This window comes from Homo sapiens, chromosome 18 (assembly GCF_000001405.40).
Source record: "Homo sapiens chromosome 18, GRCh38.p14 Primary Assembly".
Taxonomy (NCBI): Eukaryota; Metazoa; Chordata; class Mammalia; order Primates; family Hominidae; genus Homo; species Homo sapiens.
The window spans coordinates 3,491,190-3,515,878 of NC_000018.10; the positions used below are offsets into that span (position 1 = coordinate 3,491,190).

General features: G+C 41.7%; 1 protein-coding gene across 33 annotated transcripts in view; it reads right to left on the bottom strand.

Annotated features, from left to right (window-relative positions):
- Positions 1-4,842: 4,842 nt before the first annotated feature.
- DLGAP1 (DLG associated protein 1) overlaps positions 4,843-24,689 on the bottom strand; it is a 959,276-nt gene continuing 939,429 nt past the window's right edge. For 19 of the 33 annotated variants that reach the window (NM_001398527.1, NM_001398526.1, NM_004746.4 and 16 more), the window contains 3 exons: positions 17,381-17,472; positions 11,304-11,456; positions 4,843-8,205 (listed from right to left, as the gene is read on the bottom strand). In NM_001398527.1, the coding sequence (NP_001385456.1) occupies positions 7,996-8,205; positions 11,304-11,456; positions 17,381-17,472 (455 nt within the window). In that variant the 3' untranslated portion in view covers positions 4,843-7,995. Of the gene's footprint in view, positions 8,206-10,961; positions 11,457-17,380; positions 17,473-24,689 lie in introns of those variants that run through there. The other 14 variants (NM_001398528.1, NM_001242761.2, NM_001398542.1 and 11 more) reach the window with 1 other exon arrangement.

Genomic DNA, 24,689 nt, shown 5'->3' on the forward strand with positions numbered 1-24,689 from the left:
GAAAAAATTATATACATATTTGCATATTCATAGATAAATGTAGAAGGATATACATACAATAAACATACAGGGTGTACATACAATAAGCTGTTCAAATATGTTCAGTATCACAGCAAACAACTAGAGTGTAAAGTGGCTCTCCTGTCATTGTCTACCCTTTTGTTGTCTTTAAAACTTTCATGTGTACTTTTTATCAGCAAAAAGAACACAACAAATAAATGGCTTTGTCTTGCATGTATCACACATGTATGAACAAAAGATCTGGTGTCAGACTGAATTCAAATACTAGCTCTGTCACTTGCCAGGAACCTTGGGAGCCTCCCTAAGAGCTCTGTAATTCACTTGCAGTGACCACCTCATAGCACAGGGTTACCATAAGGATTGAGCTACAGAATACACATGAAACAGTCCAGCCAGGGCACAAATGTATAGTAATAATAATAATAATAATAATAATGACATTTAACATTTATTTAGTGCTGACCATGTACCTGGGTTGTTTTAACAGTTTTACATAGATTAATTCATTTAATTCTTATAAAAACCCTATGAAATGGGTACTATTTTCATCCTAATTGTACAAATGGGGGAAATGAGGCACAGAGAGATGAACTAACTTGCCAAAAATACACAGCTGGTAAAGGGTAGAGCTGGGATCAAACCAGGTGGTCTGGCTTCAAATCTAGGCTCTTACCCACTTACAGAATGGCCTTGAACCTGCTGGGCAAAATGTTAAGGCTGGTGAGAGAGTGGGTCAAGCTTTCAAGAGAAATGCTGGAAATATTTGTAACCAACTTATAAGCTCATGGAAATGCTTTCCCATCTGACACCAAGCCAGAATGTGATAATCAAAATGACACCTGGGTGTGTCTAGTGGAGTATGTGAGGACTTTCCCCCCTGTCTTTGTGACTCTGGAGTTACTGGGGAATCACTACTTTGGGCTGAAGCCAACAGGGATCATGGAGTAGGGAACCCTGTCTTTTATGCATCTACCATCCAACAGACAAATACTTAATAGGCATGGAAGACCTGCCCTCTTAATGAGGCTCCTCCCGGTGACATGGTTCTGTCAGAAGGACTTATCTCAGGAGGTATATTGAGTTTCTCATGGCTGTTGAGACCTGGTATTTTCTTTTAGGTAAGCATTTCTTTAATATTTAACCCAAATTCTCTCAGTTGAATATTTAACTCAATTCTAATGTGTTGTCTTTGCTAGAAGAATAGTTGGTCATTGGCCTCACTCTATCTTCAAATGAAGTGCCCTTGAGAACATGATGAGTTTAGCCACTGATGGTCCTTGAATAGGCTGATGCCAAAACATCTTAGGTCCTCCCTGGTAGAGTGTTTTCCTTTCTTTCTTTCTTTGTCTGCAGAATTACCCAGAATTATCTAAATAATCATTCCCCACATCACCATTATTGACGAAGTGATTAACCCTCACTTGAATTCATTTTGGAAATCCCCATTTTCCTGTGCCAACCCCTCTCCACTGTTCCAATGTTCCAAACTATTGATCAGTTTTCACTCTCTCTGCAAGATGCCCTGGATTTCATTTTGAACAACCTGCTGGTCAAGGTATCCCTGGTGCATTAACTCAAAACTAGACACACAGGCACCAGCTCCTTGGAAAGGATCCCTCTTCAGTCATTCCAGACTCATTTCCTTGCTTGACTAATGTTGAGGAAAAGTTCAGGAGCCCTTGAGTTGTTTTCATGTTTGCCAAACTCAATGTTGGAAGTGCCAGGCTCACCAAGACCTCCCAGGTATTGCTCCGGCCAGCGGCCAGGCTGCAGAGAAGAGAAAAGTTAAACCCCTCCTCAGTAAAGGAAGCAGGACTTTTTTCCAGGAGCATGTTGAGGAGGAGGGGCTTCTCAAGAAATATGTTAAATTAAACCAAACAGGAAAGGAATCTAAGGGTAAATGATTTAAACTATCCCCTTTTCACTTTTGCTCAAGTTCTGTCTGTGAAATTTGCTTCTTCTCTCACTTGGGAATTACAGACAAACATCATATTGGCTGAGGTTATAAAGCATATTAGATTTTATTCTAGAAAGGAAATGGTGTGACAAATCTGGTATTTTTAAAAAATGTCACATATAGCAGTACACATTTTCATATAGCAAGTGTTTATTCCCTAAGACACACACACACACACACACACACACACACACACACACAGAGTAGAATATTTTTATTGAAACCTGGGGAGATGTTTCTTCGACAATACCTTATGGGGACAACTATTGTATCTTCCAGCTCCTTAAATGTTCCTGCTTACTTTTCATAATTGAAATTGCTCAGAGAAAGAAGGAAGTGTTCATCAACTGACAACTATATATGCAAATCTCTGAAGGGTAGCTATGCTGGAATGGTTTTTATTTGTAGAGCATTGGTCCTCACAAGCAGTAAAAGCATCTGGATTTAAGACTACAGAAATCTGAAATTGTTGCTTATAATCTCCTTGTAGAGTCAACAGGAAGAATGCATTTTCCCCCTCAGTAACAGAAGAGAAAACGCAGGCTCTATTTGCTCCGACTTCCCCTTTTCCAAAGTGAAAGGAAGAGTTTTTCAACTGAAGAACCTCTTCATTGAGATCTCAAAAGAAGCTTGCTAATAACACTAATTTATCGATCAAGTTTCCAGATGAAATTAGCACCTACTTCTTCAAGAAGACAGACAAGAAGTGTGAAGAGGGAACGTGGCAATCATAATCAGCACTAGTGAAAATATTCTGCCCCATGAATAGCAACAGTTCAATCAGCTGCGTGGTAGAGCTTGAGCTGGCATTTATGAAAATGTTTGCTTGCTCTCAGCCATTTTCTCTAAGTTGAGGCCTGTGCTCATTTACAAAGAAGACCTATTGGAATAATCCCTTGGCTGTCTAAGTCGAGACACAGGAATCAGGAATCACACTGGAGCTTCACATTCCTGTGATTTTCTGATGACGCCTTCCTGGACCAGCAGCAAACCCAGAGGACAGCATACGACTAGGGGGTAGCACGCTATTTCCCATCTCTATGCTTTATGGGAGAGGATGAGTGACTTACAGTCACTGTAAGTAAACTTGCGCTGGTAATTGAATTAGAGCTGAGAGAGGGTTTTCAGACAGGGCCACTAGTTTGTTTGCAAAATGAGTTGATTCGATCTTGGCTTAGCAGCTGCAAGTCAAACAACCTATTGAGCAAACCCAAGGTAAATTTCAGCACCCTTTAGTATCAATGGCATTCGAGAATGAACACATTCAGACGCTTTGATTTTTAAGATGTCATTTATTTAAAGCAAAATCAGTTTATATTCTCAAGGGGTGGATTTCAAAGATATAAAAAGAAAAGTCATTTTCGGAACAAACAATTTTGTTCAATTTCTATATAAAACCTAAATTACACTTTTTTTTTTTTTGGAGAGTAGACTCTGTGATATGGGAAATGGCTTCACTGAAATTCAGATTTCTACATGCAAAAGCTGACTCATTTTGTTATGGGATTAGCTAAAATGTTTAAAGAGCCCCGATGAAACAGATGAACTAATTTGTGAAAAGGCAAAAAGTGTAATCACGGTTCAGACTACATGAATAGTCAGTGCACGAACCAAAGCGATGAGGCCTTTGTAACCTCACAGAGATTCAGTCACCTGATCATTCCTCTTTCAAAGCAGTTTCAAAAGTACAGTGTGTTATTCTGGTGACTGGCATAGGTCTTGCTTATGTACAAAAATCAGAAAAAGTGGCTCCTGTGCTTACTAATTTCCAAGGTTGTTGCATGTCGGTGAAAAGTTGGTGGGGATTAGGACAAAGCACTGTGGAAACAAATTTTAGAGTTGTGGCATTTTCAGGCAACAAATAAGTGCAAGTCCACATCATAAAAAATTCTAATTTACCCTTTTTGGGGGTCAATTTGTATTTTTTTTTTTTGAGACAGAGTCTCGTTCTGTCACCCAGGTTGGAGTACAGTGGTGCGATCCCAGCTCACTGCAGCCTCCACCTCTTGGGTTCAAGCGTTTCTCCTGCCTCACTCAGCCTCCCGAGTAGCTGGGATTACAGGCATGTGCCACCATGCCTGGCTAATTTTTGTATTTTTAGTGGAGGCGCGGTTTCACCATGTTGGCCGGGCTGGTCTCAAATTTTTGACCTCAGGTGATTCACCCACCTCGGCCTCCCAAAGTGCTGGGATTACAGGCGTGAGCCACTGCGCCTGGCCAAATTTGTATTTTTTTATATAAAGTAAGGTTTACAAATATGACCTAAATGAAAACCAGATAAAATTGACAATGGCAAATAATTACCAATTTTAAATGTGGCAAGAATGACAGAGACGGCACTAAAGGAGCTCAATAAAGCCTTGGGTTCTGGACTCAGATCTGTCTTTTAATCATTGTGGCACATTGGGCAAGTCACTAAACCTCAGTGAGGCACAGTTTTTCATTATTGCAAGGATGGAATGGAAGCCACAAAGCATTTTTCTGATTTTCCCTACACTTGAGAGTTGTGTAGGAAACAAAGTGGATGAAATGTATGCAAAGAAATCAAAGTAGGTAAAACTGACATGAATTTGCACATTTGAAAGGCTCATCACTCCTTCATAAGATAGACAGTTATTCTCAGCTTCTGAACTGAAACTTCACGAGTGGGATTATCAGAGTAAAAGGACTTTTTAGTTCTTCGGTATTGAAACCCCTTTAAACAGGATGTAAGTTCTCCCTACGTCATCAACAACGAATAGCACACGTGCTGTACAGTGAAAGTTAGAATGATACGCTTCTTAATTGCAGAAGTATTCCCGTCAAAAGACAATAAAGCATATTTTGGAAGAAGTGGGACTCTAGTAAAAACACACAGACCTGAAAGCAGTGCATTAATTATTTTATTAATTTCTTCTTTTTACATTATGGGAAACATTCATCTATTTACAATATTTTTTTGTTCACACACAATCTAGGTAAATAAGCCTATGAAATTCCAATTCATAAAGCCATAAAAATGTTCCCACCCCTCCATCTGAAGGCTTTCAAATGAATCTTTTTTTTCCAAACCAAAATAATTTTTAAAAATTACATTTGGGAATTCAGATATGCTAGTGATTTACATTCCAGTTATTTAAAATATGCATCTAGACATGTTTTAAAAAAGAAATGGTAAATTCACAAGGATAAGGCTTAAATGAAAGTGGTAATGCACAGTAAAACATTAAGGAAACATCTATAAATAACAGAAATATATTACAATAAATTAGTTCTATTTACCATTTCAAATATTAAAAATCTTTAATCCATTTCTTCATCTCTCTTTACAAAAAGGTTATGTGAATTGTATGGAAACATCTGCAAAAAATATAATAAATACTTAATTTCTTTGAACGTTTTTTGATGTGGGAGACAAACTTCTTTTGTAATCCCCCCCTCCCCAAGAAAATGCCCAACACCTTTATACCAAAGTTAAACAAAATAAGTAATTTTTCAGGGTACATACATTTTCCATTACGAACTAAAAAACATTTCTACAAATTACATCAAAAAGAACAATGTAACAAAGGTTATGCTCATGAATGTCAGTTTCAGGGGTCAAGCAGCATTGTGTGGGGTCATGTTCTAACACCAATAATTAGCTTTTTATAAAGTGTTTGTACAATTTAAATTGTATTTTCAAGGAAGGCAAAGATCATGATGCCCTGTAGGCCTTGAGCTAAAAGATTTAAAATTCTTACCAAAAATAGCTTATGAATATACAAATGCCGTTCACTTAGACAAGATAAATAGGCCTTCTCTTGTCTCTCTTTAAAATATCATGGGCTAAATTAGTTTCCAAAGAAAATATTGTAGGATGATCTTGAGTCGTATTAGAAATCTATTTCTTAATCCAAATCTCAACTCTACCTCAGGGCACGGAGCTGTAATTGTGAGCATGGGTCTTGGGATGAACGCTGCTTCTTTCATATTAATCTGTGAGTTCCAAGTCATTCTCAGTATTGAATGTGACCATAGGCTACCCAAGTGGCAGTTGGCCCTACTCGATGCAAGCTTTGTGTGACTTTTAATTGCTGCTACAAGGTAAAGAAAAGGTGTATTCTTTTTAAAACTAGCAAATACTTGAAGCTCAAAATCTCTGTATGCTCCAATTTCACAAAGCACTTTGAGTGCTTTGTTCACCCTAGTTAAAAGTTGGTTCGTTGGTTTCAAAATAAGTGAGTAGCCCTTTTCTTGTAAACCACAGCAGTAAACATTTGTGCCCTGTTTATAAAGGTAGCTCAAAGCATCGATGGCTCTGAGAGGTAGCGAATTCTCTAGTGGTTTTAGAATATGTCCGTGAAAATATCTGTTGCTAGAACCCATCACCTCTCTTAATTTCATAAGTAAAATTAAATTAGCACCTGGCTATGAGAGTGTATTATTTTAAAAAGCTTCTCTGGTGCAAGCATGTTTGATGTATGTTTTTAAAAGTCTTTCGTTTTTAATTTCTAATGCTTTAGGATGTTAGCTGGACATAAAATGCCATTGATACTTAAGATTGCCACATCCTAAGTGTTTAAACTGTGACGAGTAAGGGCATTTAAAGACAACTTCAGCTAGACACCGATGCATACTGCCCATCAATCAAGACTAAAAATCTAAATCAACACTCTCTGCCAAAAGCCTTGACTTCTTTCAGTGTTTATGAATCATGACTCCCCCCACCTCTTCATGGCTGTTGACCCTGGCAGGTCGAGTTTCTTCTCTCACTACCTGGAACCTCAAGATGACAGCGGCAGCTCTTTTGAATGAGGCAGCATGTCTATTGGGGCAAAAATTTATTTTAGCCATTTGACACAGGACAGAATCCTATGCTAGGTATTACTGGACTCTGCAGTAGTGAGAGGAGATGAAAGGAGAAAATATATCTGAAATACGAACTACTTGGGTTAAAATAGACGGATGTGTAGCATTCAAAGGGATGGTAGGAAAACCCAAACTCTTCTCCAAAAACAGCCTTGCTGCCATTTACAGCGCTTTATAAGCAGATATGTACTTATATATGTGGAATCAGGTAGGCCCACCTGGATGGACACTTAACAAATTAATAGAACCAACACTTTCCCTTTAAAAACAGCCGCCACGACAACAATATAAATATACACAGTACAATAAGAGTTGAGAAAACATTTCAGGTCTAGATTTTCTTAATAATAGAACAAAAAAATCCCTTATGTAGTATACTAAACCATCAGTGCCTCCTTTGCCTTGCTTCATGTTATTGCCTTTCAGAATAGATTAATTTCCCTGAAAGATCGAATTTACAATCTTCTGCTGATTGAGACATTTGAAGCTGTGATTGATGAAGTAACAGTGAGGCAGTTTGTGCAGCTGTGAGTGTGCAGGTGCCCCCAGCACCTGCAGATTTCGCTTCTCCCATCCTTGCTACACATCCAGGTCCCCCACCCCCAGGCCAGGCTTGGTCCCCTCTCTCTGTGTCCCTCATGGATTCCAGTGAGATGGTGTGATTTCTGAGGTTGGGAATAAAGTGCTCCATCTGCTTTTTTAAAAGAATAACCATTTAGGGGAAATAAAGGGAATCGGAGGCCTAGTTTCTTTCACGTGGAAGACGGTAAGTCCCAAAGGATCACCCTGTGATACTGGATTTCTGAAATACCCTATGGTTTTATATTGCTGAACAGACTAGCTCGAGAGAACTGAGGACGGCGGGTGACCTAAAGGCATCACTTCTACACAGGTGGGTTTGGCTTTGCCCAGAAAATAAAGGGTTGGATCTCAGTATGAGGCAGGGCGACGGCATCAGGACAGGGGGCGAAGCTCGGTGAAGAAGGAGATGGGCAAACGGGTACGGGAAGTGGGGGGCTGAGGGGGGCCCGGGGGGCGGCTCCTGCGAGGTGGACAACTACACCGCGACAGTGGAAGTCACCGAGCTCGGGAGCGGACGGGCTCGGAGGGGGAGAGGCAGCCGGCAGAGGAGCGGCCGGGGGAGGAGGGGACAGATGCTTGGCGGCGGCGGCCGGGCTGCGGGGCGCTCAGAGCCGGGTCTGCGCCTCGGGGATGTAGATCTCGATGCTCTCGGCGCTCTCGGTGGCCGAGTTCTGGCGGACGGACGCGGCGCGCTTGGCGGCCATCAGGCGCTTGCGGGCCTCCTGGCGCTGCGAGCTCTCCAGCGAGCGCTCCCGGATCAGCGGCGCGGGGCCCTTCGCCGGCTTCTTTGGCACTGGAGGAGGGGCCCTTCTCTCCTGATCAAAGCAGAAGGTTCAGGACATTACACAGCTTCTCAGGACAAGCTTGGGAAAAACTGGGATAGGTCAGTAGTTAGAACACACAGTTTTTTACCTAGGGGTGGTTAGTTCTGATCTGCACACTGCATATCTACTTTTTTCTTCATTATTCTGGCTTGGGCATTCAAAAGATGCAGAAAAAAAAAAATCCCGGTAAGCTTAAGGCCCAGGGTAAGGCTGGGTTGCAGAACTAGGTCTCTCCAAGGGAAGGAAGTGGGTATTTTAAAGGCCCCCTGCGGAAAGCCTGCGGCTCCCAGCACATTGAGTGCGGTTCTCTCTGGAGACTCCAGACTCCTCCTGGTGCCAGAGATGGGCCAGGAAGCAGCGGCTGCAGCAGCATCTTAGAACCCCTGCATCCCCTCTAAGGATGCAAGTCACCGGGTGCAAGCTTGGTTCAGAGCTTAAAAACATCTCCGCTCTGTCCCCGGCCCGCCCACCGTCCCCTTCCCACCAAACCTAAATAAACAGAGGAGGAAGAAGAGATATCAGATTGTGTTCTTTAGCTTTGTTGGTGCTACACCAGGTTAGACCCTTTTGCACACCACACACGAACACACAAGCAATATACAATATACAGGGTCACGGGAGAGGGAGGCCATTGATATTTCCTACACTCGAGAGTTAATTAAGTCAGTTCCAAGGTGACTCTGACTAGGGGCCTCGGGATAACTGTGGTGGCCCAGGAAGCAATTCCAATCACAGGGGCAGAAACTGTGCCATGAAAAGTTGACACAGGATGAAAGAGGTCATTCCTCTTATCAGCAGCAAACTATGAAATGGGCGGATATTTTCAATGCCACTGCAAAAACAAAAGACAGTCATCTCTTTGGCATTAAAAAAAATGCAGCAGGAAAGAATGGCGTCTAGACCACAAAGGATTTTTAGGCAAAGAAGGTTGAAGTTGTAGACTGTGAAAGGGTGCACATAAAACTGATGTTTTCATTTTAAATAAAATACCCTCCATTCTCATAAAATGAAGCGTGAACATTATCTTAAAATATAGTTTCGGTGATTCTCCAAAGAGTACTCTTTGTATCTTAACACCAATGCTCAGCACAGCAATTCCTCCCTGCTTGCCAGAGCAAGTGCCTAGTTCAACTTCTCACCCTGGAGCTACCCCACCGGCTGTCTAAGGTGGAGTCTGTGTGGCTTAAAAGAGAAAAAAGGAGAGCCTGGAGTGCAAACTATATTCTCCCAACTCTGATTGTGCTTGTTCATTTTTCTCCTCAGGTTCATGGGGTGATGAAAAGCTCTGATCACAGGCAAAGTCCATTAAAAACCGTAAAAATCAAGCTAACTAATGATTTACTATGTAAATATCAATAGGTTACATATATCAATTCTTAGCATCTCTTCTTTTAGACATTTTAAATCTTCATTGTGGAATAACTCAGTGGATATTTTTAGAAATATGAATATTGGATATTTTTTAGTCATTTTCCTTTCCTTATACATTTGGATTTTTTAAACAATGATTACTATTATTATTATTATTGAGACAAGCTCTCGCTCTGTCACCCAGGCTGGAGTGCAGTGGCGCAACCACGGCTCACTGCAGACTCAAACTCTCCGAGTTCAAGCAATCCTCCCACCTCAGCCTCCCAAGTAGCTGGCACTACAAGTGTGTACCACCACGCCCAGCTAATTTTTGTACTTTTTGTAGAGACGGCGTTTCACCATATTGTTGCCCAGGCTGGTTTTGAACTCCTGGACTCAAGTGATCCACCCGCCTCAGCCTCCCAAAGTGCTGGGATTACAGACATGAGCCACCATGCCCAGCCAACAATGATTATTTAAAAAAAAAAAAAAAAAATTAGATGCATCAGCTCTGGAAACTAAATTACCAGTATGTGTGCATTTGTAGTGTTTTCTTAAAATAAGACTGATTTAAAGCTTATCTAGCAGATAGTTTTAAACACAGATTAAAGAAAACTAGATTGGGTACAAATGTTTGGCTTCCCAAGTGAGAGGCCACATGTACATCAACAGTACTTTCCAACTTAACACTACGACCCCCATTTTGATGGTGACAGAATTGGAAACGGGGGACAGTGATGAGAGCATCACCCTCCTGTCACTTACAGATGGTCCCTTGGGACTGGATTTTTCCTGGGAGACCATTGACCCCAAGAACCCTGAAAACATGATATGCGGTAGCAGAATGGATTAGATTGCTGTTAGCTTTCTGGTAGGTGAGGGGACCTGAAAAGAACAGGGCCACCAGCATTTCAAGGGAACAGCCATTCCAATTTTCAGAGGTTGATTCTCTTGGAATTATTTGACCTGAGGCCATAGGAAAGCAAAGGGTTAAAAAAGTCACGTTTGACATGCCAGCCTGGGGAGCTGGACATTGGATACCCGTGTGAGCCTCGTGGAACACCATAATCAAATGTGAAAATTAGAGTTGATTAATTAAAGTAAAAGAATTTAAGTCTTTATTTCTAAACTGATGCATGAGGACCCCAGTGAGCAATATTCCCCAAGGCAAATCAACCAAAAGCAAAACTGTTTTGAAAAAAAAAAAAAAAAAAAACCCAACATTTATGTAATTACTGTGAAACTTTATGGTATATATTTTTAGACTTGAACAACAGTAATTTCTTTATTACTATATTTATGAAATGATTATCAAAGTCAGTTATTTTTCAGGGCATCCTATTTTTCTTGAAAACACATCCTAGGGGTGTAAGGAAGTTGAACTCTTGTTCTATGGATTCATGCACTGAAGATGTCATTTATTTTAGTTTAAAAAGCAAAATGGAGGCAGTTCCTTCCAGTGACTAAAATGGTTTAACTTAAAGTTTAATTAACAAAAAAAGCCACATTCCCATTTTCCAATTCACAAAGACAGGTTTTTCTTTAAAAATATGCCTGAAACATATTACAGATAATATCCCAAATGATTACTATGTAAACATTGTCATTACAATGAAATTAATATGATATCAGCTCCATTTCACATTGTAAACAGCAGGACTGAATGCAGAAGCCTATTTAGACTGTCCAGTGTTTGTGCAGGTTTTTAAATGAACCATACAAAATCTACATTGTTCTACCTTCTTGTCAAGAGGATCCATCTGTTTCCAATTATTGGCCTTTAACTGATGAAGTTCATCAAATTTCATACTAATATTTTCTATGGACAACTGCAGCATGTCCCAAAACCCCGCCAAATCCTGGGAGGTGGGTCTTGGATGAGCATTAGGATTCTGCACAAGAGAAAGAAAAACATTCATGCTTTAGAAGCAATTCTTGACAAGCACAGGGCCAAAAAGGCATTTTCAAATATTTCAAACAACATAAGGAGGACTAGTTCCTTTTGGTTTTCCGACACGAGGTAAAAGTGAGGTTACAAATGTTAATTTTATACACTCATCCGTTTGAGTCAGTGATTCTCAAATGTCAAGGTTGTAAAACTCTTCTGTTGTGATACCACATCTATCAATTCAATATGGTATGGGGGAAGGGTCTAAACATATGAAAAATTCCAGAATGTGTGATCTACTACAGGACGTATTTTAAAACACCATATTCAAATGAAAATGACATTTCTGAAAAAAAAAATACAGTGTATTATTATTAGAGTTTGTATTCCACTACATGCCATACAATTTATTCAGAGAACAGATAAGGAATCTAAAATAAGATTAGTTTAAATATTCATGTTAAGTAAAACACAAATGATTAGTAATAAAATATTGGATGTTCCAAGCACTATGTGTTTAATAATTAAGATGTTTACTAATATAGGAAGTAATTTTATCATAGGAAGTAATTTTATCATATGACTGCTTTGACAAAATCATTTGAAAATTCATTCATTTTAAATTGACCATAAAATAATATAGCAAATGTGAGAACACATTATCTCTACATACATCTCTACATCTATATGTCTGTAATGACCCATTTGCTAAGTGATAGTAAACATTCTTCAGTGTTTCAGGATTGACTTTCTTTGCCCCATCCACATATCCCTGATACCAGAACATATAAACCTGAATTTATATGCCCTAAGACAGGAAAAACACAGCTAGGAGACTGAAAATATCATACTCTTTGTTAATTACTACCTGCAGCAGTAGCTAAAGGCATTCATGATTAGACGGGTGGCAGCCTCCATATGTCAAGAGATCCTAGCTGGTATCTGTTTTGGTGACCTCTTGGTATTTCAGGCAACTGGACAGACTGTGAAACTCCATGTCCTATGATAACACGAGGCCAGTGTATGCTTTTAAAACTAACCCCTAATAAAAATGATATCAGAATTTTGGAAAGTACAAGGTTGAAGACCATCAAAATAATGGATTGGAAAGACATTTTAAGTCCTTGGGTGCACCAGTATTATTGGCCTACCTCAAAATAAAAATAAATGAAGTCTGGGCGTGGTGGCTCATGCCTGTAATCCCAGCACTTTGGGAGTCCGAAGTGGGTGGATCACCTGAGGTCAGGAGTTCGAGACCAGCCTGGCCAACATGGCAAAACCCCATCTCTACTGAAAATACAAAAATAATCCAGGCACGATGGTGCACACCTGTAATCCCAGCTGCTCAGGAGGCTGAGGCAAGAGAATCGCTTGGACCTGAGAGGCGGAGATTGCAGTGAGCCAAGGTTGTGCCATTGCACTCCAGCCTGGGTGACAAGAGCGACATTCTGTCTCAAAAATAAATAAATAAACAGATAGATAGATAGATATATTTATAAATTTATAGTTCCTAAAGTGCCCAAAAGTTCTAAAGTTCATTAGAAGAAATAAATTTTAAAGTTTATAAAGTTTTTTTTAGTTTACTAAATCAGAATACTACAGAGAAACCCTTTCATTAATTCAGACATCGTTAGAATAGATTTTAATACTGAATCAGACACTTACAAACTTTAAAACTTATTTTTTAAATGAACTTTAGAATTATTAGGCACTTTGGGAACTATAAATTTATAGATATATCTGTTTATTTATTTATTTTTGAGACATAGCGTCGCTCTTGTCGCCCACGCTGGAGTGCAATGGTACAATCTCAGCTCACTGCAACCTCTGCCTCCCAGGTTCAAGCGACTCTCCTGCCTCAGCCTCCTGAGTAACTGGGATTACAGGTGTGTGCCACCATGCCTGGCTAATTTTTGTGTTTTTTTGTAGAGATGGGGTCTCACATTGTTGCTCAGGCTGGTCTTGAACTCCTGGCCACAAGATCCTCCTGCCTCGACCTCCCAAGTGCTGGGATTACAGGTACAAGCCACTTCGCCCCGCCAGTGTTTTCTTGAATGTATTTAACTCTGTATAATGGGCAACTCGTTCCCTTCTCATAAAGAATCTCTTTGCTCCCACATCATTAAGAAGATAGATAGAGAAACAGAGAGAAAGCGTTTAGCCTCAGCCATTCTCCAAATCAGTGAGTCATGTGACATACCATGCACAACAGTGGCAGCTCACTCCTTAATCCAAGACATGCTGCCTTGGAGACCAGAGGTGGGTGCTGGAGGGGAGAGTGGGGAGAGCCAAGGGAGGCTGGGGTCCTTGGTTTAGTTACGTTGGAAGAGGCCAACTTTTGTCTACTCATTCTAAGCCTGGGAGTCTAGTTAGGATAATGAGTAAGTGTTTTCAAAATAGAGCTATGATTTTTCTCCTCAGAATAGGAACTCAAGAAAGGAAGCTGGGTCTGGTTCTGACCAATCATGGTGCCACTTTCATGCAGCTGTGGACCAGGCCACTGTGCCTCCTGGGGCAAAGGAGCATGGAGCTGAGTCTGCTCCATGAGCAGGAGTAGTGAACTCAAATCCTGGGTAGGATGTATAAGGATTGTGGTTGAATAGACTGGGATTTGAATCTTGGCTCTGCCTTTTACCATGGGGCTGTGAACAAGTTTCTTAGCTTTTCCGTGCCCATTTTCCTCATCTGTAAACTGTCATTAAAATGTCACTATCGGGCCGGGCGAGTTGGCTCATGCCTATAATCCCAGCACTTTGGAAGGCCGAGGCGGGAGGATCACAAGGTCAGGAGTTCGAGACCAGCCTGGCCAATATGATGAAACCCTGTCTCTACTAAAAAGATAAAAAATTAGCTGGGTGTCGTGGTGGGCGCCTATAGTCCCAGCTACTCGGGAGGCTGAGGCAGGAGAATTGCTTGAACCCGTGAGGCAGAGATTGCAATGAGCTGAGTTTGCGCCACTGCACTCCCAGCCTGGGCAACAGAGTGAGACTCCCTCTAAAAAAAAAAAAAAAAAAAAAAGTCACTATCAACTCCATGTGTTCTTTTTGAGCATGTAACCAGCCCAGAAATCTAAACGCTTTCAGCAGGGTGTCAGGCACATGTTAGGCTCTTGACTTTTTTCTGGAGGGGCCTGGTTTGACCAGCATTGCGACTGTCTTCCCCCATTGTGCCTCAGTCTACCTAAAATATGAGAAGCACATTTTACCACCTATGCCCTTCTAGTGGCCAAGGAATGTGAGCCCATCAAGAACTAGGAAACATCAAAAGCTGGCTTTAAGGAGGTTAACATTTTCTAGAAATCTGCAAATTTTTGGGCCAGGTGCGGTGGCTCACACCTGTAATCCCAACACTTTGGGAGGCCGAGGAGGGTGGATCACCTGAGGTCAGGAGTGCAAGATCAGCCTAGCCAACATGGTGAAACCCCGTCTCTACTAAAAATACAAAAAATTAGCTGGGTGTGGTGGCGGGTGCCTGTAAACCCAGCTACTTGGGAGGCTGAGGCAGGAGAATAGCTTGAACCAGGAGGTGGAGATTGCAGTAAGCCAAGATCACGCCACTGCCCTCCAGCCTGGGCAACAAGAGTGAAACTCGGCCGGGCATGGTGGCTCACGCCTGTAATCCCAACACTTTCGGTGGCCGAGGCGGGCAGATCACCTGAGGTCAGGAGTCCGAGACCAGCCTGACCAACATGGAGAAACCCTGTCTCTACTAAAAATACAAAATTGGCCGGCTGTGGTGGCGCATGCCTGTAATCCCAGCTACTCGGGAGGGTGAGGCAGGAGAACCTCTTGAACCCAGGAGGCGGAGGTTGCAGTGAGCCGAGATTGCGCCATTGCACTCCAGCCTGGGCAACAAGAGTGAGACTCCGTCTCAAAAAAAAAAAAAAAAAAAAAAAAGTGGAACTCCATGTCAAAAAAAAAAAAAAGAAATCTGCAAATTTTTCAAAACTTTTGTTTGCAATTTCATCTTTAAAATATGTACAATGTTTACACTCTTCTTCATAATATACTTGCTCATCACATATTTCTTTTAACAAGGTATGTTGTGTTTTCCCTGTATCGTGTACACATGGACTTCCTTATGTACCTATTCTTCATGTACATGTTTGAGCAACACGGCTTTATATAAGCTTTCTTATATTTAAAGCACAGAGAATCATGTTAATTGAGATCTGTGACACATTAGCAAGTTTGCAAATTAACAGGAGTTCTGTACCTGGCCCACAGCTGAAGCTTGATAGAATACTCGTTGGTTTAAATTCACTTATTAATACATTTACTAATATAAATGATCTCATAAGCCAGAATAAATTTCTGAAAAATTGGAAGAAGGGTGAGTTTATTTTTTCTGAGAGAGGGAAAACAAATTATAAACGTGTGTGTATGGGGCAGGGGGTGGGAGGGTGTGCGAATAGCCCTAAGGAGAGATTACAAAGAGAAAAGAGGGATGGAGACTACCACCTTTTCCATACTTTATATTTTCTCTCGGTTGATCCCTGTCTACATAAATTTCTTTCAGTCTGTATTTCTCCTTGTTAACAAGAAGTGGTTAAAACTCCAAAACTGGCCAAGTGCGATGGCGTGCCTGTAATACCAGCACTTTGGGAGGCCAAGATGGGAGGATCATGAGGTCAGGAGTTTGAGACTATCCTGGCTAACACCATGAAAACCCGTCTCTACTAAAACAAAACAAAACAAAACAAAACAAAACAAAACAAAACAAAAAATTAGCTGGGCATGGTGGCATGCACCTGTAGTCCCAGCTACTCGGAGGCTGAGGCAGGAGAATCGCTTGAACCTGGGAGGCAGAGGTTGCAGTGAGCCGAGCCGAGATCGTGCCATTGCACTCCAGCCTGGACAACAGAGCGAGACTCCATCTCAAAACAAAAACAAAAACAAAAACAAACCCTCAAAAATCATGCCTGTCAATTGTTGGGGATAAAAGAAAAACAAAAAACCTCTAAGATCATATTTTAAGTAATTTAGATTGCTAATAATTGTCTTCACTTGCCAAAAGGTAAACAAATTGCTTTTCATTTTCTTTGTTTTAGATCCAGCTTGACCAACAATTGAGCAATAAAAGCTATTCTTGAAGGTTTTTTTTTTTTTTTTTTTTTGGAGATGAAGTCTCACTCTGTCCCCCAAACTAGAGTGCAATGAACCTCAGCTCGCTGCAACCTCCGCCTCCTGGGTTCAAGTGATTCTCCTGCCTCAGCCTCCTGAGTAGCTGGGATTATAGGCACCTGCCACCATGCCCAGCTAATTTTTGTATCTTTAGTAGAGACAGGGTTTTGCCATCTTGGCCAGGCTGGTCTCGAACTCCTGACCTCAGGTGATCCGTCTGCCTTGGCCTCCCAAAGTGCTGGGATTACAGGCGTGAGCCATTGCGCCCAGCCTGTTTTGCTTTGTTTTTGCATGTCCAAGAAGGATGAATTCTTCATTTGTTTCAAGAAGATCAAATCTACACTTTGTGATGCCCTTGACTTCTAGCTCTTGAATTAAAACAGAGAACTCAGATTAGGAAATAGTCATTGACTGCTATTTTAGAAAGAAAATCACTATCCAAAATGATTTTTTTTGGGCAATATTATTTTTGAAATATCAAGCTGCTTCATATTTTGATAAGAACAATAAAATCAGAAAAGCTATGTGAAAGCCAGGAAAATGGAAAATTTTCAGTTACAAAAGAAGCAGGAAATAATTTTAACTTGACTGAATTTTTTCTAAGATTATTTAAGTGAAAAATAAATATTTTAATTTTAAGACAATCAGGAAATAAGATTCATCAGAAAATTCTCTGTTCCAAGTGAGAGACTCCAATGGACCTTGACTTGGTTCAAAATCAGTTTTACTTTAGTTGGGCCAGTCTTGGTGACATGTTCTTCTCATGGCACTAGCAGGGAAATTGTAGAAGGAGAGTGTTACCTACCAGGTTTTCTTCACACAGTTCTCTGAACTGGTAGAATTTCTGGGCCATGAGAAGTTGGGCACTGCCCACTGCGGTTCGGATTTTTCCTAGAACTGGAAAGAGCAAACATACGAGAAATTTACACATCATGCTTCATTGTTGAGATTTAGTCTGGTAAAGCAAAGAGGAAGTTATGCTGTAATAATTAGGGAAAATGGCACACACACACACTGAACACTCATGCCCACCCAGACAGCCCAATCACTGTTGTCACCCTGTTGGTCTGTGTCACAGAGGCTCCTGGGTTAAAGTAATAAAATCAACTTGGAAAAACACATGCTCCTCCTGCATATTTCTTGGGAGCAATGGAGTTTTCCAGCACTGATGTTACCAAGAACTGGATGTTACCAAGAGAAGAGGCAAACAGTTGTTGCTTTTTTTTTTTTTTAAACTTCCTTTACCGCAAGGATGAATTTCAAGTGTTTACCAGTATAGCTCTGGATTGATGGAGTCAGCCGTCATGGTCGGCTGGCTTGTTTTTCTAAAACAAGCCCAAACACAAGGAAAGCAGTACTAAACTAGAGGGGGAATCTCTTGGCACTCACCATATCCCATCCACATCCTTTCTTATTTTTCCGGAGCTCAGCCACTGGTACCGTCAGGAAAGAGCTGTGGCTGATTAAAATATTTTCTAAGGAGCGAACATGTTCAGCCTGTGGCCTAGAAAACGCCAGGGCCGTCCCAGCTTTTACACTCTGCAGCCCAATCATTTTGTTAATATAGGGTGAATTCCCTAGGCACTGTGCTGAAAATCTCCGTCTCTGCAAGCAGGCTACTTCTTGTCTCCCCAGCAGTCTAAGGCACCTTTCAGCTGCCTGCAGGCGTGCTCAGACCGAGCGGAGCTGCTTTCCGCTGAGCAATGCCCAGCTCTGCAGTGTCCCTGGGGCTCGCCTGCACCCTTTGGGACTGGGTGCAGCTGCCCTGCTACCCACCAGGGTGTTCTTAACATGCTCTCATGGTCGGGAAGGAATCAAAAACTAGAGCAGGAGAACTTCTCACAAGAGCACTTGCCTCTCTGGAAATCTTCACGGGATGATATAGTACAGGATTTAAGCAATCCTGTTGTTCTGAATTTACGGAGCCAGGTACCCGAGTGGAATAAGCCTTTCTCAACCTCATTCCCCACACATTCTGAGCGACGGAAACTGAAGAATAAGAAACTCCATTCTGGCCCAGGGTTTTCTAGCAATTTGCTCCTTTATTTGTTTTAAACTGCTAGGCTAGATAATGGTTTCTGATGCACATTCTACCTAGGCGTTACTCAAGTATTTCAGCGTTCCCACAAGTCACTCAGTGCATTTATATTTCCTCTAATATGTCACCAGCCACACCAAACAGCTCACAGACAGATATTTGCCCCCTCCCTCCGTGATCTCGAGGGGGTCTCCCTTGACAGCTGTCTAGCAGCAATTTCTTAGGCCTAAGTTTTTAACAATTTTTCTGCTCTGCTTTTAAAATCTCTTGGGATGGTTATCCTTTTCCTCTTTAACTAATAAATCAATTGTGCAAGACCTCCTCTCCTTTTCTTAACATCCCCAGAAAGGACAGCTTATGGAGACACAGGGCCTGAGTGGGCCAGAGTCCTCAATAGCTACTGCCTGGACAAGTCACTATCTCTACTTTCCCATCCGTAAAATGGGGCTAATGGTACCTATCTGGAGGGTTGTTGGGAAGGTTAAAAGCGTTAGTGTATTTGAATTGCTTAGGACTGTGTTGGATTTACAGTAAGTACTTAATAATTATTTGTTATTATCTAGGATCAGAAACCTCTACCTCTTCTATGGGTGTGCCCACTGTGAGAGCCACACTTGCCCTGGCTAGGAGAGAAAAGGAAAAAACAAAGTCTGGATGATCTAAGGTGACTGGACATCTTGGTCTCCTGGGACAGGTATGCTCTCTGGGTGACCTGTTCCAGCTCCAAGAAGGTATATGGAGCAGGCACTTCCTAAGTGAGCATGTGGCTGTAGGTAAGCTCTGAGGTTTATGGAAACCTCTGAATTATCTTGCTGAAGGGTAGGACTGTGAGATCGGCAAATCTCAGAATGAATCCTGGGAGGTTATGACCAGGGTACCTAGGTCTCCACTTTGATGGCTGGGTTCCATAGCTCCTGGGAGCTATCGCAGAAACTCCAGCTATTCTGACTTACCTAAAAACTTTGAGCTGATGGTTCTCAATTATGTCTGATGCCTGAGCTATATAATAGACTGCCATAATAAAAGTAACTGAGTAAGACAGTGATTCTCAAAAGAGGAGACAGCACTGTTCTAAGCCATTATTAGGGCAACATGCAACCACACAAGTTGGGGCTAAGTCAGATGTCTTCTCAAAAGTAAAACAAGGGATATCTTTCTTCATTCAGCATGGCCTGGCAAGAGCCCTGGCAAAGTATCTGGGGTGGAGTTGTGGCCCTTCTCTTTCCCGGGCTTTTGCCGTCATGTTCCTTGCATGGAAATTCCCTACTGGCTCCAGGATACTTGCAATTCCTGTGTCCAGGAGATGACCGTTCCTAGGCCCAGGGTGGGGAGATGACTGCTTGGGCCTAGAATGAGATCATGAAACAGGGAGGCTTGGGAGAAGCAGATGACAACTCATATTTCCTTGTCCTCCACACTTTCTTTTCCGGAGAACTAAAAACTCACTTTAATTTTAAGAAAGAAGCTGTAATGGAGGTTTTTTTTGTTTTGTTTTGTTTTGTTTTATTTTTTTTCCATTAGACACTCACTCTGTGTGTGAGGTAAGTTCTTTCTTCCAAAAGTAAATTTCACATTTGTTGCACATGCCTTGAGGAAGTTGAAATTAATAAACAATAAATGGTAAACACCAGTAGAAGTAAAAAGTGGAAATAAAAAGACTGAAAGTTGATAAAGAAATGAAATGAAGAAGAAAGAAGCATCTCGATGTTGTTTTGAAACTACTCTAAAATGTTCAATACCAACCTTCACGGTGGAAAAAAAAAAAACAGTTGGCTCTCTGTTTCCATGGGTTTTGCATCTGTGAGTTAAACCAATGTTGGGTCTCACTATGTGGCCCAGGCTGGTCTTGAACTCCTGGGCTGAAGCAATCCTCTTGCCTCAGCCTCCCAAAGTGCTGGGATTACAGGTATGAGCCACTGCATCCTGCTGAATTTGTTTTCTTTTTCCCTTTTCTCTCACTCCTATGAAATGAAGCCCTACAGATAAAATATATGTTCTCCACTCCTATCCCATTCCTTTTCATCCCCAGAGGAAACCATTGCAGTAGAGAATGACTATTTCAGTCCCATCACTGAATTCATAAGGTCTCTTTTCTGGTCCTGGAAAGGTGATCGCTAAGGGTCATTTTGAGTGTTAGACTGGGGCAATCTCACCAGCACAGTAGCACCCATAGTCAACATCAGCAGATTTTCTCTGAAAGTTAGAATGGGGGTTTTAAAGCTCTATGGGTGTTGAGTTGATCTCTTTCACATTCTGGTCATGCTTTTTTTTTTTTTACAGATTGTTCAACCCAGATGTGGTTAACAGTTTTTGCCACCCATCTCCCTTAGGGCACATTCAAATGCATCTTACAGAATAATTTTCTCTGCTGTGTCAGCCAGGCAAGCCGTTTAACCATGACTCATACCATCTATTTGTGTAATACTTAATCAGATAATAAGCCTTGTATTGCTGGGCAGTTCTTTTTACATAAGTAAATCTAGCCTCCCCAGACACCGTATAGGCACCTGATGGTGAGGCTTATAGACTCCTCCCTTTCCTTTCTTTCCCCAGCTACTCTGTTAATCTGTCCCTCAGTGGAAGTACAAAACAAAACAGAAAATGCAGTTGAATGGGATTCTTCCTATTTAAGAAGTAAGCACTCTTTATAAACTCCCCCACTTATAATTCTTCAAACCTCTCACCCCACAACAGATATTTAAGAAGACCCACAATAGAGAGTACAGGCCTGGGTTAGTGAATCACATAAAGTCAGGAGGAACTTTTGGGAGGCCTTTGTGAACATGTGTTTACTTAAATTATCATCACTTAGTATTTCAAAACTCACAAACAGGCATCTAATTAGATCCTCGCAGGACCCTGTGAGGCAGAGCAGATAACTTCATTTGAAAAAACTTGTACTCAAACTACAAAGTTTCTTCCCCACGGACATCTGCTGTGGCCAATCCCCGTCTTCTGACCCCAGTCTATTTGGGCTCTCTTCTCTCTAACACTCGCAGAAAATTGCGTCTGAATCTACTTAAGTGGAAGCTATCCGAGTGTGATTTCCTTCTTTTTTTTCTTTACTGTGGTAAGAACACTTAACATGAAATCTACCCTCTTAACAAATATTTAAGTGCACAATATAGTTTTGTTAATGGTGGCGCAGCGTTGTACAGCAGATCTCGAGAACTTATTCACCTTGCATAACTTTAGATCCACTGGACAGCAATTCCCCTTTCCCTTTCCCTCTCCCTCTACATCATGGCACCCACCGTTCCACTCTCTGTTTCCTGAGTTTTGACTATTTTAAGATACATCATATAAGCAGAATCATGCAGCATTTGTTCTCCAGTGACTGGCTTATTCCACTTAGCATATAGTCCTCCAGGCTCATCCATGTTGTTGCATATGGCAGAATTTCCTTCTTTTTCAAAGCTGAATAATATTTCATTGTATGTTTATACCACATTCCATTTATCCACTGAGTGTGATTTCTGTTTATTTATGTGTTTATTTATTTATGAATGAGGTCTCACTGTGTTGTCCAGGCTGGAGGACAGTGGCTATTCATAGGCATGAACATGGGGTCCTATAGCCCTGAACTCCTTGCCACAGCCTTCTGAGCAGCTGGGACTGCAGGCATGCACCACTATGCCAGGCTGCATGTAATTTCTTTATCAACATTTCCCAGCCAGTGCCAATGGATAGGGGTGAGTGGCATAATAAGTCAGTGGGAGAGTTGGAAGAAATTCGCCAAGCCTGATCACTGTCCCACATTAGGAAGCAAGAGCAAAGCACATCCATCTACCTGAAGTGACTGGCAGGCAAGGCAATTTCAATCCTGAACAGAAAAGAGGAACCAGGGACACCTTGAAAGAGATGGTGGGTGTTTCAAGCTCTTTTTTTCTTTTACAGATTATGTGTCATAATGAGAAGCAGAGAACAACTATGTTGGCTGTGGGAAAGGGGAGTCTTTTATGCAATCTATGATTTGAAATCTCCTGACTACATTCAAAGACCCAGCCATTTAGAAGAGAGCATACCTCCTCTTTCCCACTGACCTCTGTGGGATAGGTTGTTATTTTGAGAAAAGGAGGTAGTATAAGAGGCACAAGGATGAAGAGAAAAAACACTTTCCTTTAACCCTCCCAGTGGGTCTATGGCAAAGCTGCAAGGAGTTTCAGTGTGCTGGTGATCTTTTTGCTGAGTTAAAATCAGGATTACAAATCCTTAAGCATAATTAGCATATGCATCCTTTCCTATTTCAAGAGGAGTTAGGTCTCTAGAACTAAAAAGGCAGACGTGCTCATTTCTCTGACTGCTTCTTTTTTTTTTTTTTGAGACAAGAGTCTCACTCTGTCACCCAGGCTGGAGTGCAGTGGCACGATCTCGGCTCACTGCAACCTCCAACTCCCGAGTTCAAGTGATTCTCCTGCCTCAGCCTCCCGAGTAGCTGGGATTACAGGCATGAGCCACTGTGCCCTGCCTCTCTGACTGCTTCTAATTCTTACATGATGCTACACCTAACTCCACGATCATCAGACCTTACTTTAAGGCCTCAGAAACAGAGAAGAATAGACATATTTCTTATACCCTCAAAGTAGGTTCCCTGAAGCCTGGATACGACAGACACCCCTGCAATGGATTACCTCTGACTGGCTCCCCGTGGTGAAGGTTACTACGGTAGATATGCTACATAGAACTCGTCACATTTTTCTGCCACCTACACTATAATTCACCTAGTATGTTTCATTTTAGTCTAACTTTCTCTCTGGGCAATACAGGCATGCCTCAGACATATTGTGGGTTTAGTTCCAGACCACTACAATAAATGAATATCACAATAAAGTGAGTCACATGAATTTTTTGTTTCCCAGTGCATATAAAAGTTATGTTTACACTATACTGTAGTCTGTTAAGTGTGTCATAGCATAATGTCACAAAAAAGTACCTAATACTTTATTGCTAAAAAATGCTAATGGTAATCTGAGCCATCAGCAAGTCATAATCTTCTTGCGGAGGGAGGGTCTTGCCTCGATGTGGATGGCTGCTGTGATCAAGGTGGTAGTTGCTAAAGGTAGGGGTGGCTGTGGCAATGTCTCTTTTTAAAATAAATTTTTTTTTCACTTTGTATTTTTTGTAGAGACAGGATCTCGCTATGTTGCCCAGGCTGGTCTCAAGCTTCTGGCCTCAAGCGATCCACTCATCTTGGACTCCCAAACTGCTGACATTACAGGCATGAGTCACTGCCCCGGCTGGCTGTGACAATTTTAAAAATAAGACAACAATGAAGTTTGCCACATCAATTGACTTTTCCTTTCATGAAAGGTTTCTCTGTTGCGTGCAATATTTGTTTGACAGCATTTTACCCACAGTAAAACTTTTTTCAAAATTGGAGTCAAGGGGCCGGGCGCGGTGGCTCACGCCTGTAATCCCAGCACTTTGGGAGGCCAAGGTGGGTGGATCACGAGGTCAGGAGATCGAGCCCATCCTGGCTAACACGGTGAAACCCCGTCTCTGCTAAAAAATAGAAAAAATTAGCCAGGCGTGGTGGCGGGCACTGTAGACCCAGCTACTCAGGAGGCTGAGGCAGGAGAATGGCTTGAACCCAGGAGGCGGAGCTTGAGTGAGCCAAGATCATGCCACTGCACTCCAGCCTGGGCAACAGAGCGAGATTCCATCTCAAAAAAAAAAAAAAAAAATTGGAGTCAAGGCTGGGCGTGGTGGCTCACGCCTGTAATCCCAGCACTTTGGGAGGCCAAGATAGGAGGATTGCTTGAGCCCAGGAGTTCGAGACCAGCCTAGGCAACATGGCAAAACCCCATCTCTACTAAAAATACGAAAAATTAGTCGGCCTGGTGGCACATCCCTGAAGTCCCAGCTACTCAGGAGGCTGAGTTGGGAGGATCACCTGAGCCTGGGAAGTTGAGTCTGCAGTGAGCCGTGATTGTGCCACCGCACTCCAATCTGGGCAACAGAGGAGACCCTGTCTCAAAAAAAAAAAAAAAAAAAAAAGGGAGTCAAAATCCTCTCGAAGCTTACCACTATATTATCAACTAAGTTGATGTAATATTCTAAAGCCTTTGTGGTCATT